At 42.3% G+C, this 16,047-nt stretch overlaps 1 protein-coding gene across 15 annotated transcripts in view; it reads right to left on the reverse strand.

The window, feature by feature from the left end:
* The window catches only part of CDK5RAP1 (CDK5RAP1 mitochondrial tRNA methylthiotransferase), a 42,731-nt gene that overhangs the window by 12,127 nt on the left and 14,557 nt on the right, over positions 1-16,047 (reverse strand). For 11 of the 15 annotated variants that reach the window (XM_011528856.4, XM_024451893.2, XM_011528857.3 and 8 more), the window contains 4 exons: positions 14,685-14,805; positions 8,496-8,726; positions 3,150-3,247; positions 1,677-1,732 (listed from right to left, as the gene is read on the reverse strand). In XM_011528856.4, the coding sequence (XP_011527158.1) occupies positions 1,677-1,732; positions 3,150-3,247; positions 8,496-8,726; positions 14,685-14,805 (506 nt within the window). Of the gene's footprint in view, positions 1-1,676; positions 1,733-3,149; positions 3,248-8,495; positions 8,727-11,118; positions 11,215-12,514; positions 12,557-14,684; positions 14,806-16,047 lie in introns of those variants that run through there. The other 4 variants (NM_001365728.1, NM_001278168.2, XM_047440195.1 and 1 more) reach the window with 4 other exon arrangements.

The raw sequence follows: 16,047 nt of genomic DNA on the forward strand, positions 1-16,047 counted from the left end.
TTTCTGAATTTGGTTTGATACAATGGTCATCTAAGACAGTAGCAGCCGTTGCATGCGGTAGCTCACCCCTGTAATCCCAGCACTTTGAGAGGCCAAGGTGGGCGGATCACTTGAGGTCAGGAGTTCGAGACCAGCCTGGCCAATAGGCAAAATCCCATCTCTACAAAAAATACAAAAATTGACCAGGCAGGGTGGTATTCAAGTGTAGTCCCAGCTACTCAGGAGGCTGAGGTGGGAGGATCACCTGAGCCCAGGGAGGTCAAGGCTGCAGTGAACTGTGTTCATGCCACTGCATTCCAGCCTGGGCGACAGAATGATAACCTATCCCCCACCAAAAAAATTATTCCAGTGACCCAGTGAGGTGAGTACTATTAACTCCATTTTACAGATGAGAAAGCTGCATCCCACAGAAATGAAGTCTCTTATCTGCTATCACACAGCCTGTAACAGTGGAGCTTGACCCATAGCCACATACCTAGCCTCTGCATTACCCTGCCCTATCAAAACGAAAGTATTTGTCCATAAAAGTTAAAATAATTAGGCCAGGTGCAGTGGCTCATGCCTGTAATCCCACCACTTTGGCAGGCTGAGGCGGGCAGATCACTTGAGGTCAGGAGTTCGGGACCAGCCTGGACAACATGGTGAAACCCTATCTCTACCAAAAAATACAAAAATTAGCTGGGCATGGTGGCCTGTAGTCCTGGCTACTTGGGAGGCTGAGGCACAAGAATCGCTTGAACCTGGCAGGCAGAAGCTGCAGTGAGCCGAGATTGCGCCACTGCACTCTATCCTGGGCAATAGAGCAAGATTCTGTCTCAAAAAAAAAGTTGTAATAATTAGAAATTTGAGGAAAAATGTATACACCCTCAACCAAATCTAAACTAAATGACTACAGAGTATTTTATTAGGAGGAAGGGGACAGTGAAGGGGAATATGGAATAAGATAATACGAAAGGAATTATCTCTAAAATTTACAGTAATAAGTTGCCATAAAGCTAGTTAGAAAAAGTACACATTTTACTGCTGATCTGTACAATCATCTTTATACCTACATTTCCTCATTTCATCAAGACTTCTCTGAAGCATATCTGAAAATAAACAACACTGTAACTGCTTTCTTTTCCCACCTAACCTGGAAGTTCCCCAAAGGCATAATCTAAGTGTTATTCTCTCCATATTATGCTTAAAGTATTCTAACTCAAAAGTGATTTTAAAATGTATCTGTAAAATCGGCCTCAAAAAGAAAGTCAAATGTGGTATAAAATATAGAAAATGAAGATGAATAAATAAGAATAGTAAGTTCTTATTTCTAAAAAAAAAAAAAAAAGATATCAATTGTTCTCAAATCAGAACTAATTTAGACATAACTTTGTCACCTTACAAGATAAGATAAGGTCTTTCCTCTATGTCCAGATACAAAGACCATAGAAAAGGAATCTCTATAGCCTTGAGGCCACAAGGTGATCCACACCTAAGTACTTCCAGCAGGACTAAGACAACAAAAAATCAGAAAGACATAAAAGAAAGAATACGAGGAGAGAGAAAGAGAAAGAAGAAGAGCACAAAAGTTATGAAACTGTGTCACAAGGAAATGCCAAAGGTGTTGACTGTATCTAACCACAAGGCTGGTCACTGGTAGAGTAACATGCTCAGCAGAATGAGTTTCTTAAATGTACCTGGAATAGATTCTCTAATATGGTGAACTAACTCCACATAAGCTTCTCTTGAATATCTGCAATAAAGAACAAAAGGAAAAGGCCTACATAAATCCAACCTTTTTAAATGAATGCTATAAAAAGATAACACTATGAATTTCCACATGTAATCACTTCTCATCCACATGGCAGGGCACACGAGTAAATTAAAGTATCCAAAAGAGCCCTTTTGATCTAAGCTGTATCTTCTAATCTAATCTAGAGCCTATGAATTTTTATTTAAGGACATAAACTTTTTTTTTTTTTTTTTGAGACAGAGTCTCGCTCTGTCTCTCAGGCTGGAGTGCAATGGCACAATCTCGGTTCACTGCAACTCAAATTCCTGGGCTCAAGTGATCCTTCCACCTCAGCCTCTTGAGTAGCTGGGACCACAGATGTGCGCCACCACACCCAGCTAGTGTGTGTGTGTGTCTGTGTGTCTGTATGTGTGTGTGTATGTGTGTAGAGACTGGGTTTCGCCATGTTGCCCGTGTGTGTGTGTGTGTGTGTGTGTGTCTGTGTGTGTAGGGACTGGGTTTCACCATGTTGCCCAGGTGTGTGCATGTGTGTGTGTGTGTGTGTGTAGGGACTGGGTTTCACCATGTTGCCCAGGTGTGTGTTTGTGTGTGTAGAGACTGGGTTTCGCCATGTTGCCCAGGTGTGTGTGTGTGTAAAGACTGGGTTTCCCCATGTTGCACAAGCTGGTCTATTCTCAAACTACTGAGCTCAGGCAATCTGCCCACCACAGTCTCCCAAAGTGCTTGGATTACAGGCAGAAGCCACAGTGCCTGGCCAGCATAAACTATTCTAAATAGCTTTTTTTATTTAACTAATAAATCTAGACAGATTAAACATTTTAGAGGACCTCTAAAATACTATGCCCTGTGGAAAACAAGACAAAGCACTAATTCCATACAGCTTGCCTTGGGACAGATTCTCCCTTCAGTCTCATCTGTGTAATACTTATTATTCTCAAAGAAAGTGAACACATAGAGCGACATTTAAATTCCAAGATGTAACAAAACCTTAATGTTAACATTAAAAAATTAAAATCTCAGAGTGTGCCACACCATAGGTGCTTAATTAAAAAAAAACATACTAAACAGTGAAAATGGATGACCCAGTCCTTAGCCTATGTTATGGAGTTAGCGAAGCAAGCTCCAGTGCCCTGTGGCTTAGTCATACAATAAATACTTACTGTCACACAGTGGCTGCTCAGTAAATATTTATGCTTTTTAAACTAAACAGTGAAAATGGGTGACCAGTCCTTAGCCTTTGCTTATGAAGTGAGCAGAAGCAAACTCCAGTGCCCAGTGGCTTAGTCATACAATAAATATTTACTGAGCAGCTACTTTGTGCCACACACTATGCTAGGTTCTTGGCAACAAGGACACTGTTTGGTCATTAAGGAAACATGGAAAAGTGAGGGATGCCCCCTCTCCAAGCAAGCCTGACCCCCTCCGCATGGCCTCCAACACACGGCTGCTTCCACTCTGGGCTGGCAGGTGGATCTGTTTACAGATGTTATCTCTCTCATGAATCAGCTGCAGAACCTGATGAAACAGAACACATTATAGGTAATCACAATCTCACCAAAGAACCTTACAGAAAGCAATACCGCTCTTACTATGTATCCTCCAAGGTCAATTTTCACATAATTAAGAGGCTAATTAAACCAGACACACAAAATCACCTATTCCCTAACTTTTGTTCAAGCCCCATTCTATTTGTCTCAGACACTTCACCTGATGGCATCTCTGCTTTCAAAGAGTAGAGAGAAGAAAGTAAGCAGAGGTCAGATTAAAGCCATGGGAGCTGAATACAGGTAGTGCTGACACTAGGGTCAGCAGGCAAAGCAGGAAAAAAATGGCACTTCTTTCAGCTAGCTTACAAAGCAGTCACTTTCTATTTTTTTTTTTTTTGAGACAGAGTATCACTCCATTGCCCAGGCTGGAGTACAGTGGTGCCATCTCCACTCACTGCAACCTCTGTCTCCTGGGTTCAAGCGATTCTCCTGCCTCAGCCTCCCCAGTAGCAGGGATTACAGGCACAAACCACCACACCTGGCTAACTTTTGTATTTTTAGTAGAGATGATGTTGCCCAGGCTGGACTAGAAATACTGACCTCAAGTGATCCGCCTGCCTCAGCCTCCCAAAGTGCTGGGATTACAGGCGTGAGCCACCACGCCCAGCCCAAACTAGTCATTTTTAAAGATACCATCAGGTCAGGTGTCATGGCTCACCTCTGTAATCCCAGCACTTTGGGAGGCCAAGGCAGGAGGATTGCTTGAGGCCAAGACTTCAAGACCAGCCTGGACAACATAGTGAGACCTTGGGTCTATTTTTTTTAATTTTTAAAAGAAGAAAAAAGAAAAAAAAAGATACCATCAAAAAACTGATACTAGGGGAAAATATTTGAAAACATATTGACAAAGGATTTGAACCAAGAATACATAAAGAGGCTGGGCGCAGTGGCTCATGCTTGTAATCCCAGCACTTTGGGAGGCTGAGGTGGGCAAATCATTTGAGGTCAGCAGTTCGAGACCAGCTTGGCCAACATGGTAAAACCCCGTCTCTACTAAAAATACAAAAATTAGCTGGACATGGTGGTGTGCACCTGTAATCCCAGCTACTCAGGAGGTTGAGGCAGGAGAATCACTTGAACCCGGGAGGCAGAGGTTGCAGTGAGGCCAGATCACACCACTGCGCTCTAGCCTGGGTGACAGAGCGAGACTCCATCTCAAAAAAAAAAAAAAAAGAAAAAGAAAAGAAAAGAAAACATAAAGAGAACACATTCCAGTCTCTCTCCTCCATTGCAAGAAAGGCTCCTTTGCAGTGGTCAAAAAAATAAAGGATATGTAAAGAACTTTTACAACTCAATAAGAAGACAATCCAGAGGAAAAAAGATGAAAGTCGGGGCCAAAAGAAAGACTTTTCACTGAAACAAAAAACCTCCAAAAAAAGGTTTCAGATGTGGGCTACCTACTCCATGCCAGGCACTGTGCTAAGTACCTTTGACACAATATAGGCATACCTCAGAGATATCACAGGTTTGGTTCCAGATCACCACAATGAAGAGAATATTGCAATAAAGTGAGTGACACAAATTTTTTGGTTTCCCAGTGCAAATAAAAGTTATATTTACTCTATACTGCAGTCTATTAAGTGAAAGCAATGTACATACCTTAATTTCATTATATTTATATTTTTTAAATATATCGAGATAGGGTTTCACTCTATCACCCTCGCTAGAGTGCAATGAAACTGTAGCTCACCCCAACCTTGAACTGCTAGGCCAAGCGATCCTCCTGTTCCAGCGTCCCAAGTAACTACGACTACAGGCATGTGCCACCATGCCCAGCTAATTTTTTTATTTAAAAATTATAGGGCCGGGCACAGTGGCTCACGCCTGTAATCCCAGCACTTTAGGAGGCCAAGATGGGTGGATCATGAAGTCAAGAGTTCGAGACCAGCCTGGCCAACATCTCTACTAAGTCTCTGCTAAGAATACAAAAATTAGCCAGGCATGGTGGTGCATGCCTGTAGTCCCAGCTACTTGGGAGGCAAGGCAGGAGAACTGCTTGAACCTGGGAGGCAGAGGTTGCAGTGAGCTGAGATCGCACCACCGCACTCCAGCCTGGGTGACAGAGCAAGACTCAGTCTCGAAAAAAAATAAAAATAAAAATAAAAAATAAAAACTATAAAGTTGTTATGCTGCCTGGGCTGGTGTCCAACTTGTAGGCTCAAGTGATTCTCCTGCCTCAACCTCCCAAAGTGTTGGGATTACAGGGATGAGCCACCACTGAATATTTTAAGCTCACTGTTGAGACCTACTGCTTAGGAAAAAAGATTCCTTTCTAAATATGACTGCTCATTGACAACGCACCTGGTCATCCCAGAGCTCTGAAAGAGATGTACAAGGAGATTATTAGTGTCGTTTTTATGCCTGCTAACACAATATCCATTTTGCAGCCCATGGATCAAGGAGTAATTTCAACTTTCAAGCCCTATTATTTTAATTTTTAGTTTATATAAGATCAATTCTTATTATTTAAGAAATATATTTCATAAAGCTATAGCTGTCGTAGATAGTGACTTTTGTGATGGATCTGGGCAGAGTAAACTGAAAACATTCCGGAAAGAATTCATCATTCTAGATACCATTAAGAACATTAATGATTCATGGGAAGAGGTCGAAATGTCAACATTAATAGGAGTTTGGAAGATACTGATTTCAACATTCATGGATGATTTTGAGGGGCTCACGACTTCAGTGGAGGAAGTAACATCCTCTTTAGCATCATTCTTAAGGGCCCTAGGATTTTCAGAATGGCAAATCAACACTGGCTTCAACTTAAAGTCACCAGCTGCCTTGGCCCCTAACAAGAGAGTCTGGCTGGGCACAGTAGCTCCCGCCTGTGATCCCAGCACTTTGAGAGGCCTAGGTGGGAGAACTGCTTGAGGTCAGGTGTTCAAGACCAGCCTGGGCAATACGGCAAGACCCCACCTCTAATTTTTTTAAAAGGAAACAAGAGACAGAGTCAGCCTGTCCTTTGAAGCTTTGAAGAATGGCACTGATTTCTCTTCTCTAGCTATGAAAGTCCCAGATGACATCTTCTTCCAACAGAAGACTGTTCATTTACACTGCAAATCTGTTGTTTAGTAGAACCACCTTCAGCATTGATCTTAGCTAGATCTTCTGGATAACTTGCACAGCTTCTACATCAGCACTATGGCTTCCCCTTGCACTTTGATGTTAGAGAGATGGCTTCTTTCCTCAAACCTTGTAAGTCAACCTCTGCTAGCTTCAAACTTTTCTTCTTCAGCTTCCTCACCTCTCTTGGGCTTCAGAGAACTGAAGAGGGGCCTTGCTCTGGATTAGGCTTTGGCTTAAGGAAGTGCTGCGGCTTCTTTGATCTTCTCTCCAGATCACTAAAGCTTTCTCCATATCAGCAAAAAGGCTGGGTTTTGTTGTTAGTGGTTTTTTTGGGTTTTCTTGTTTTTCTTTTTGAGATGGAGTCTCACTCTATTGCCCAGGCTGGAATGCAGTGGCACAATCTCAGCTCACTGCAACCTCTGCCTCCCGGGTTCAAGCAATTCTCCTGCCTCAGCCTCCCAAGCAGCTAGGATTACAGGTCTGCACAACCAAACCCAGCTAATTTTTCTATTTTTAGTAGAGACAGAGTTTTGCCATGTTGGCCAGGCTGATCTAGAACTCCTGACCTCAGGTGATCCACCCACCTTGGCCTCCCAAAATGCTGGGATTAAAGGTGTGAGTCACTGCGCCCAGCCTGTGAGCCATCACACCCGGCCAAAGAGGTTGTGTTGTTTTCTTATCATTCATGTGTTCAGTGGAGTAGTACTTTTAATTTCCTTCATGAACTTTTCCTTTGCATTTACAACTTGGCTGGTTGACATAAGAGGCCTAGCTTTCAGCCTAGCTCGGCTTTCAACATGATTTCCTCAGTAAGCTTAAACATTTCTGGCTTTTGATTTCAAGTGAGAGCCCTGCGACCCTTCCCTTCACTTGAGCACTTTAGAGGCCATTGTAGGGTGATTAAATGGCCCAATTTCAATATTGTTGTGTCTCAGAGAATAGGGAGGCCTGAGGAAAGGGAGAGAGATGGGGGAATGGCCGTCTGTGGAACAGTCAGAACACACACATCATTTACCAATTTAGGTCACTTTCTTATGTGGGTGTGGCTCATGGTGTTCCGAAACAATTTTAAGAATAACATTAAATAGCACTGATCACAGATCACCATAACAGATGTAATAATAATGAAGTTTGAAATATTGTGAAAATTACCAAAATATGACACAGAGACATGAAGTAAGCACATGCTGTTGGAAAAATGGTGCTGACAGACTTATTCAGAGTTGCCACAAACCTTCCATTTGTTAAAAATAACTCCATAATATCTGCAGAGTGCAATAAAACAAGGTATGCCTTTGTATCTATTTCACAACAACCCAAAGCAGGAGGTAATTGTTAACCCCTTATTAACCCCATTTTACAGATAAAGATGAAAAGTTGAAAACATCACATGCTCGCTGGTAAAACAGTGGAAAAGCTGAGATTTGAACCCGGGTCTGAGGCGAAAGTCTGGGCTGTTTCCCAGAGCACCACATCACCTCCTTCCTGTCCACCCCACACCACCATTACCGCCCCACCACCATTATTACCACTCAGCTGCCCACTTTGTAACAAATCCTCTCTGTACAGCCCTCACGGTCCCGCAGGTGGTCTTAACCTCCCGCTGAATATCAGTCCTACCTCCACTCCCACCTTGGCAGACTTTTTTTTCGAGACAGGGTCTCGCTATCTCACCCAGGATGGAGTGCAGTGGTGCGATCTCGGCTCACTGCAGCCTCGACTTCCTGGGCTCATGTGATTCTCCCACCTCAGTCTCCCAAGTAGCTGGAACTACAGTCGTATGCCACCTCAGTCTCCCAAGTAGCCAGAACTACAGTCGTATCCCACCCCACCCAGCTAATTTTTTGTATTTGCAGTAGAGACGGGGTTTCGCCATGTTGCCCAGGCTGGTTTCCAACTCCTGAGCTCAAGTAATCCACCTGCCTCAGCGTCTCCAAGTGTTGAGATTATTGGTGTAAGCCCCGTGCCCAGCCACTGGTGGACTTCAAATCTTCAAAGGACCAGCAGATCTGGAGGGTGATGCAGCAATACCCCACAGGATCCCTAAGCAGGACTCCAGGTCTCTGCTGCATCCCTACTGGGTCCAGCCTTTGGCATGCTCAAGAATACTAATATCAGTTTGTCACAGCTAACCTGACGCTCACCTCATCAGGAAAATCCTTGGGGTGGGGAGAGGTAAAACGGATCCTCATTTCAGGATCTACTCTGGAGACCTGATCCAGAAGATGAGCAAAACGAAGTCCTCCTTGCTTGGTTTTATAGTTGGTGGTAAAGCCACGACTGAGATTGGTAGGCACTGCACTGTTGAACTGGACCTCCGAATTGTCCCGAAAACTATTAACATTCTGACCAAGAAGTGTCACTTCTTTCAGCCCCTAAACATGGGAAAATATATTGGAATTTTAAAACTTTTGGGTAGCTTCATAAAAAAACACTAATTAAAAATTAGCTGAAATTAACATATCTTTTGTTTTAAACAAAAGAAAAATCGAACCTACCAAGAGTCACCTATAAGTGTGTTGTGTCTATAACCGAATAATTTCAAGCTTAGACATCTTACCTAAAGAGCTAAACCTAATAAAGCCTTATATAAAAATTAATCTTCAAAACATTATTTAGAATCAAAACTGGAAACAAACTCAATAATCCACAATAATGGTTAATTTATGATAGATCTGTCATTTGAATGTTATACACCATGACTATATAAAGTATTCTCACCAGAAATATTTAACCTGAACTAATCAAGCTTTTACACCTAACTTCCAGTTACTAGAATTCACAGAGATATATTAAATGACAACATGAGGAAAAAATCAGACAAAGGAGACTCATGTCTGATCTCTTCAAAAAGTTAATGCATCATTTAAAGAAAACAACAACAACAAAAAATAAAAGAGCTGTTTTAGATTTTTTTCTTCTTCTTCTTGAGACAGGGTCTCCCTCTGTTGCCCAGGCTGGAGTGCAGCAGCACGATCATAGCTCACTGTAGCCTCAACCTCCCAGGCTTAAGCAGTCCTCCTGCCTCAGCCTCCCAAGTAGCTGGGACTACCTTTTTTTACTTTTGTAGAGATGGGATTTCACCATGTTGCACAGACTGGTTTTAAACTCCTAAACTCAAGCAATCCTCCCACCTCAGCCTCCCAAAGTGTCTGGCTTAAATAACTATTGATTTTCATACATATGATAATGATATCATGGTTATGAAGAGAAAAATTGTTACTCATAGAAGATACATACTGAAGTATCTAGGGGCAAGTGTCCTGAGGTCTACAAATTACTTCAAATGGTTCAGAAAAAATACATTTATGGGTGCATGGAGATAGGTGTATGACAAAATGTTAACAATCACGTTTTTCTATTATACTAGTCTTTCTATTTGTCTGTTTGAAAATTTATATTATAGGCCAGGTGCAGTGGCTCCCTCCTGAAATCCCAGTACTTTGGGAGGCCAAGGTGGGCGGATCACACGGTCAGGAGTTCAGACCAGCCTGGCTAACATGGTGAAATCCCTTCTCTACTAAAAATACAAAAAATTAGCTGGGCGTGGTGGCAGGCACCTAATCCCAGCTACTAAGGAGGGTGAGGCAGGAGAATCGCTTGAACCCAGGAGGCAGAGGCTGCAGTGAGCCGAGACCATGCCACTGCACTCCAGCCTGGGCAACAGAGCGAGACTCCATCTCAAAAAATAGAAATGTTATATTATAAAGTTTCACAAATAATGGTTGCTAAAAAAGACTTGTTTTGTAACTTTGACATAATTTACAGACAAACTGCAATATTAAAAGAATTCCCATATACTCTTTGCCCAAATTCATCAAATGTTAACACTGCACCCCATTTGTTTATCATTCACATTCAGACACTCATATACACTCTCTCTCAACACACATATGACTACATTTTTTTTAAGCCTTCTGAGAAAAAGTCACAGATATCATACTCTTTTACTTCCAAATATTTTAGTATATATTTCTTAAAAACAAGGGCATTCTCCTATATAATTTCAGGACAATTATCAAAATCAGAAATATTGATACAACACTATTATCTACTTTCCATAAATCAAATGTTACCAATAGTCCAAATAATGTTTTGTTGTTGTTGTTGTTGTTATTGTTGTTTTTTGAGACAGAGTCTCACTCTGTTGCCCAGGCTGGAGTGCACTAGCGTGATCTTGGCTCACTGCAATCTCCGCCTCCCAGGTTCAAGCGATTCTCCTGCCTCAGCCTCCTGAGTAGCTGGGACTACAGGCGTGTGTCACCACGCCAGGCTAACTTTTTGTATTTTTTAGTAGAGACGGGTTTTGCCAAGTTGCCCAGGCTAGTCTCAAACTCCGGAGCTCAGACAATCTGCACACCATGGTCTCCCAAAATGCTAGGATTACAGGTGTGAGCCACCACGCCCAGCCCAAATAATGTTCTTTATAACATTTTTTTCCCTGATCAGAATCCCAATCGAGGACCGTGCGATGCATTTAGTTGTCATAACTCCAGTCTCCATAAAGGCTATTTATTTGTGTAAGTTGTGACATACTGTTAATCTAAAAAGCAGGATATACTAAATGCAATGTGGATCCTAGATTGGATCCTGGAAACGAAGTAAGACATTAGTGGAGAAACTGGCAAAATCCAAATAAAGTCTGAAGAGAGTTAATAGTAACATACCAATATTAATCTCTTAGTTTTTGCTTTGTTTGTTTTGTAATAGAGACAGCAGCTCCCAGTGTTGCCCAGGCTGGTCTTGAACTCCTACGCTCAAGGCACCCTCCTGCCTTGGCCTCCCAAAGTGCTGGGATTACAGCACCAAAAAATGTACCAAAGAAAGATGGCAATGCTCGAGGAAACTCTCTTTGCAACTTTCCTGTAAATGTAAAGTCATTCCAAAACAAAAAGTTTATTAAAAAGTAGGATATAAAACTAAGTAAAATACACACACATATATAAAAAGACATACAAACCAAATGCAGAATGACTTAAGGAACAATTGGGGAACTCCGAATAAGGATGAACTGGAATGAGACAGTATTTAGCAATTTTTGTTAATCTTACTGGAAGAACTAATGGTATTAAAAATATTCTTGGCCAGACACGGTGGCTCATGCCTGTAATCCTAGCACTTTAGGAGGCCAAGGCGGGTAGATCACCTGAGGTCAGGAGTTCGAGACCAGCCTGCCCAACATGGTGAAACCCCGTCTCTACTAAAAATACAAAAATGAGCTAAGTATGGTGGCGCATGCCTGTAGTCCCATTTACTCAGGAGGCTGAAGCAGGAGAATCACATGAACCCAGGAGGTGGAGGTTGCAGTGAGCTGAGATCGTGCCATTGCACTCCAGCATGGGCAAAAAGAGCAAAATTCCGTCTCTAAATAAATAAATAAAATAAAATAAAAATATTCTTTAGCAGCACATGGTGGTACGTGCCTATAATCCCAGCTACTCAGGAGGCTGAGGCAGGAGGATCACTTGAGTCCCGGGGGCAGAGGTTGCAGTGAGCCAAGATCATAACACTGCACTCCAGCCTGGGCAACAGAACAAGACTCTGTCTCAAAATAAATAAATAAATAAGTAAATAAATAAATAGGCCAGGCACAGTGGCTCACACCTGTAATCCTAGCCCTTTGGGAGGCTGAGCCGGGTGAATCACCTGAGGTCAGGAGTTTGAGACTAAGCCTGGCCAACATGGTGAAACCCCATCTCTACTAAAAATACAAAATTAGCTGGGTGTAGTGGTGCACACCTGTAATTCCAGCTACTTGGGAGGCTGAGGCAGGAGAATCACTTGAACCTGGGAGGCGGAGGTTGCGGTGAGCCAAGATTGTGCCATTGCACTCCAGCCTGGGCAAAAAGAGCGAAACTCCATCTCAAAAATAAATAAATAAATAAATAATAAAAAGATTTTTAAATGTTTAAAAAAGAAAATATCCTTATTTTTTAGAGATGCATACTGAAGGATGAAACAACATGCTCTACTTTGAAATACGTTTTCAATAAGAAAAAAATAAATGAGGCCAGGCGTAGTGGGCTCACACCTGTAATCCCAGCACTTTGGGAGGCCGAGGCGGGTGGATCACTTGAGATCAGGAGTTTGAGACCAGCCTAACATGGTGAAACCCCGTCTCTATTAAAAATACAAAAATTAAGCCAGGCACAGTGGCTCTTACCTGTAATCCCAACACTTTGGGAGGCCGAGGTGGGAGGAACACCTGAGGTCGGGAGATCGAGACCAGCCTGAACAACATGGAGAAACCCCGTCTCTACTTAAAAAATACAAAATTAGCCAGGCGTGGTGGCGCATGCCTATAATCCCAGCTACTCGGGAGGCTGAGGCAGGAGAATCGTTTGAACCCGGGAGGCGGAGGTTGTGGTGAGCCGAGATCACACCATTGCACTCCAGCCTGGGTAATAAGAGCAAAACTCTGTCTCAAAAAAAAAAAAAAAAAAAAATCAGCCAGGTGTGGTGCCAGGCACCTGTAATCCCAGCTACTCAGGAGGATAAGGCAGGAGAATCGCTTGAATCTGGGAGGTGGAGGCTGCAGTGAGCCGAGATCATACCACTACACTCCAGCCAAAAAAAAATAAAAAATAAAAGTAAATGAAACAAATATGGCAAAATGCAACAATTGTTAAATTTAGGTGATTGTTAGCTGGGGCAGAGGGGTCATTATACTATTCCCTCTTTTCAGTATATTTAAGTATTTTTCATATAAAAAGATTAAAAAGACTTTTTATAAAAGTTGCTTATTTAGAAGACTTCCAATAGATAACCATTGTTTGAATGAATAAACGGACATTCTGTTAAAGGTACAATATTCTATACTCTTTGCAACTGTAGTCTAAAAAATCTAAATGAAAGAAAAAAAATCTTTAAAAATTACTAAACAAGCAAAATTATTAAGTGACTAACAGATACTTTAAAATACAAGTAAAATCTTAATTTTCCACAAGTCTATGGCCTTGAATTCACTAAGATTCACTTTAATGTTATTAAGTTCCTTCTTTTATAGGCAAATGGCCTAGAAAGGTTGGGGAGTTTTGTCACCATCTCAGTCTATTTAAACAGAATGTCTCTATCCTGAAGGAGTGAGTTTTGGTACTGAGGGAGAGCTGGAAGGGGAGAGGAAGGAGACAACTTTAGACCAGGAAGCACTTGGAGAGGTGGGGTATGGAAAATGCCTCACAGAGCAGGGGAGCAGCTAGGGGCCAAATCAAGGAACTGATTATCTGGGGGTAGGGCAAGAGAAGACAGCACTGCCAGAATGTGAGGATGATAGCAAACTGGTGACTTAGAACTAGAGCAGGGAGGCCAGGCACAGTGGCTCATGACTGTAATCCCAGCACTTTGGGAGGCCAAGACAGTAGGATTACTTGATCCCAGGAGTTCTAGACCAGCCTGGGCAGCATAGTGAGACCTCATCTCTACAAATAATTAAAAAATTCACTGGGCGTGGTGGCACCTACCTGTAGTCCCAGCTACTTGGGAGGCTGAAGTGGGAGAATTGCTTGAGTCCAGGCAGGTGATGCTGCAGTGAGCTCTGACCACACCACTGTACTCCAGCTTGGGTGACAGAGTGAAAGCCCGTCTCAAAAATAAAAAATAAAAAAAGAACTGGGGCAGGGGCTACCCTGGCCCTCTCCCATGATTCCTGAGCCAAACAAGTAAGGAAGCAGGGAGACACCACTGTTAGGAAAAGCCACCATATTCCCACCTATTGTCCTCTTCTGCAGGGGTAGCAGATTCAGGCCCGGGGCTAAGGAAAAGACCTCCTCAAAAGCTGAGGACCAGCTCCCAGTGGGAGAAAGAAGAGCAGATCTCCCCTGTGGCTTCTGATCCACCTTACTCCCCTCATCTATTCTGTCCCTCAACTAGTGAGCTGGCTCAGTGATAAAATGAACAATAAATCTGGGAGTTTTTCCTGGAAGAGACAAATTCATAATTTCTCAAAAACTTAGCTATGTGCCAGGTAATTTAAAAACTTTTCCTCCAATCCTTCTAATAACCCTGCAAGCAAGGTATTATTTTATTCTCTTTTCACAGATGAGGAAACTGCATTACGACGACAGTTAAATTGACATGCCTAGGAACCAAGCCAGAATTCACACTCCATCACCTGACTGTAATCTCATGCCCTCTCCATCCACCATGCTGCCTCCATAGTGGAGCTCTGTAATTTGTGGGCAATAAACCAATGATGTACACAAAAGTAGTTCTTTCTGGCCAGGCATGGTCCTAAACTTTAATAAGTCAGAGACAGCATAGGCTCAAAACTACAAAGGTTATCCTCATCCTCCCCCAAACATGTTCACAGCAAGAAAGCCTGGAGAACTCTTCACCTGCTCAGAAAGCTTCTTCACTTCCTCTAGAATGGAGGCAATAGGCCGACTCCTCTCCCTGCCCCGGGTGAAAGGAACAATGCAGTAGCTACACATGTTGTCACAGCCTCGCATGATTGACCTGGAGAAGAAAGTACCAGAACTTAGTAACAGTAGCAGGGTGTGCTGGTATGACCCAAGGAGCAGGACTCAGCTTCAATAGCATTATTCTTTGGCTCTGAATCCTCTTGCCACAATGCTCACACTGGACCAATCTGAGATCTAAGCACTAAAGTAGACCTTTTTTATCTTTAAAAATTGGTATCTAATCACAAAATATAAACCAAACTATAACCAGTGGGACAATGACTAGCCTGAGGAAGCACAGCGGTGAGGAGCTAGAATATACACTTACCACACTTGGACTTTCTACTGTTTTTTTGTTTTGTTTTGTTTGAGACGGAGTCTCACTCTGTCACCAGGCTGGAGTGCAGTTGCAATCTCGGCTCACTGCAACCTCCACCTCCCAGGTTCAAGTGATTCTCCTGCCTCAGCCTCCTGAGTAGCTGGGACTACAGGCGCCTGCCACCACGCCCGGCTAATTTTTGTATTTTTAGTAGAGATGGGATTTCTCCATGTTGGCCACGATGGTCTCGATCTTTTGACTTCATGATCCACCCACCTCAGCCTCCCAAAGTGCTGGGATTACAGGCGTGAGCCACTGCACCTGGCCCCTCTACTGTTTTTAAATTCTTTTTTCCAGACAGCCTGAATATGTTTGTACCTACTGTTTTTATGAGTATATTATCTGAACTTTTTACATCCAGACCAGAAAAAAATAAATATTATAAAGTGTGTGTATATGTGTGTATATAGGGCAAGGAGACCCTGGATTTAAAACACAGAATTCTACATTTCTCACGCCTTCCTGATCCAACTGTTAGGTATCGAAGTTAAATCGCTCTCTTTAATTCACATCCTGTATGTGAAAGCCTCAATCTATCTGAAGGAAATAATTACGGCTATGTATCAAAGACGTTCACTGAAGAATTATGTAATAAATGTTAGCTATTATTCTTACTAAGCATTCCAACAAGAGAATATTATATAGCCATTAAAATAAACAGAGGTTGACAAACTTTTCTGTAAAAAAAAAAAAAAAACCCTATAGTAAATATTTGAGACTTAGCAGGCTATAGTCTCTGTCCCAAGTATTTAACCTTGCTTTAGTGGCAAAAGCAGCCAGAGGCAATATGTGAATAAATGGGCATGCTTGTATTCCAATAAAACCTTATTTACAAAAAGAGGTAGTAAGCTATTTGGCAACCTCTGTTACAGAAAATTTAATGCCATGGCCAGGCGCAGTGGCTCACCCTTATAATCC

Source organism: Homo sapiens, chromosome 20 (assembly GCF_000001405.40).
Source record: "Homo sapiens chromosome 20, GRCh38.p14 Primary Assembly".
Taxonomy (NCBI): Eukaryota; Metazoa; Chordata; class Mammalia; order Primates; family Hominidae; genus Homo; species Homo sapiens.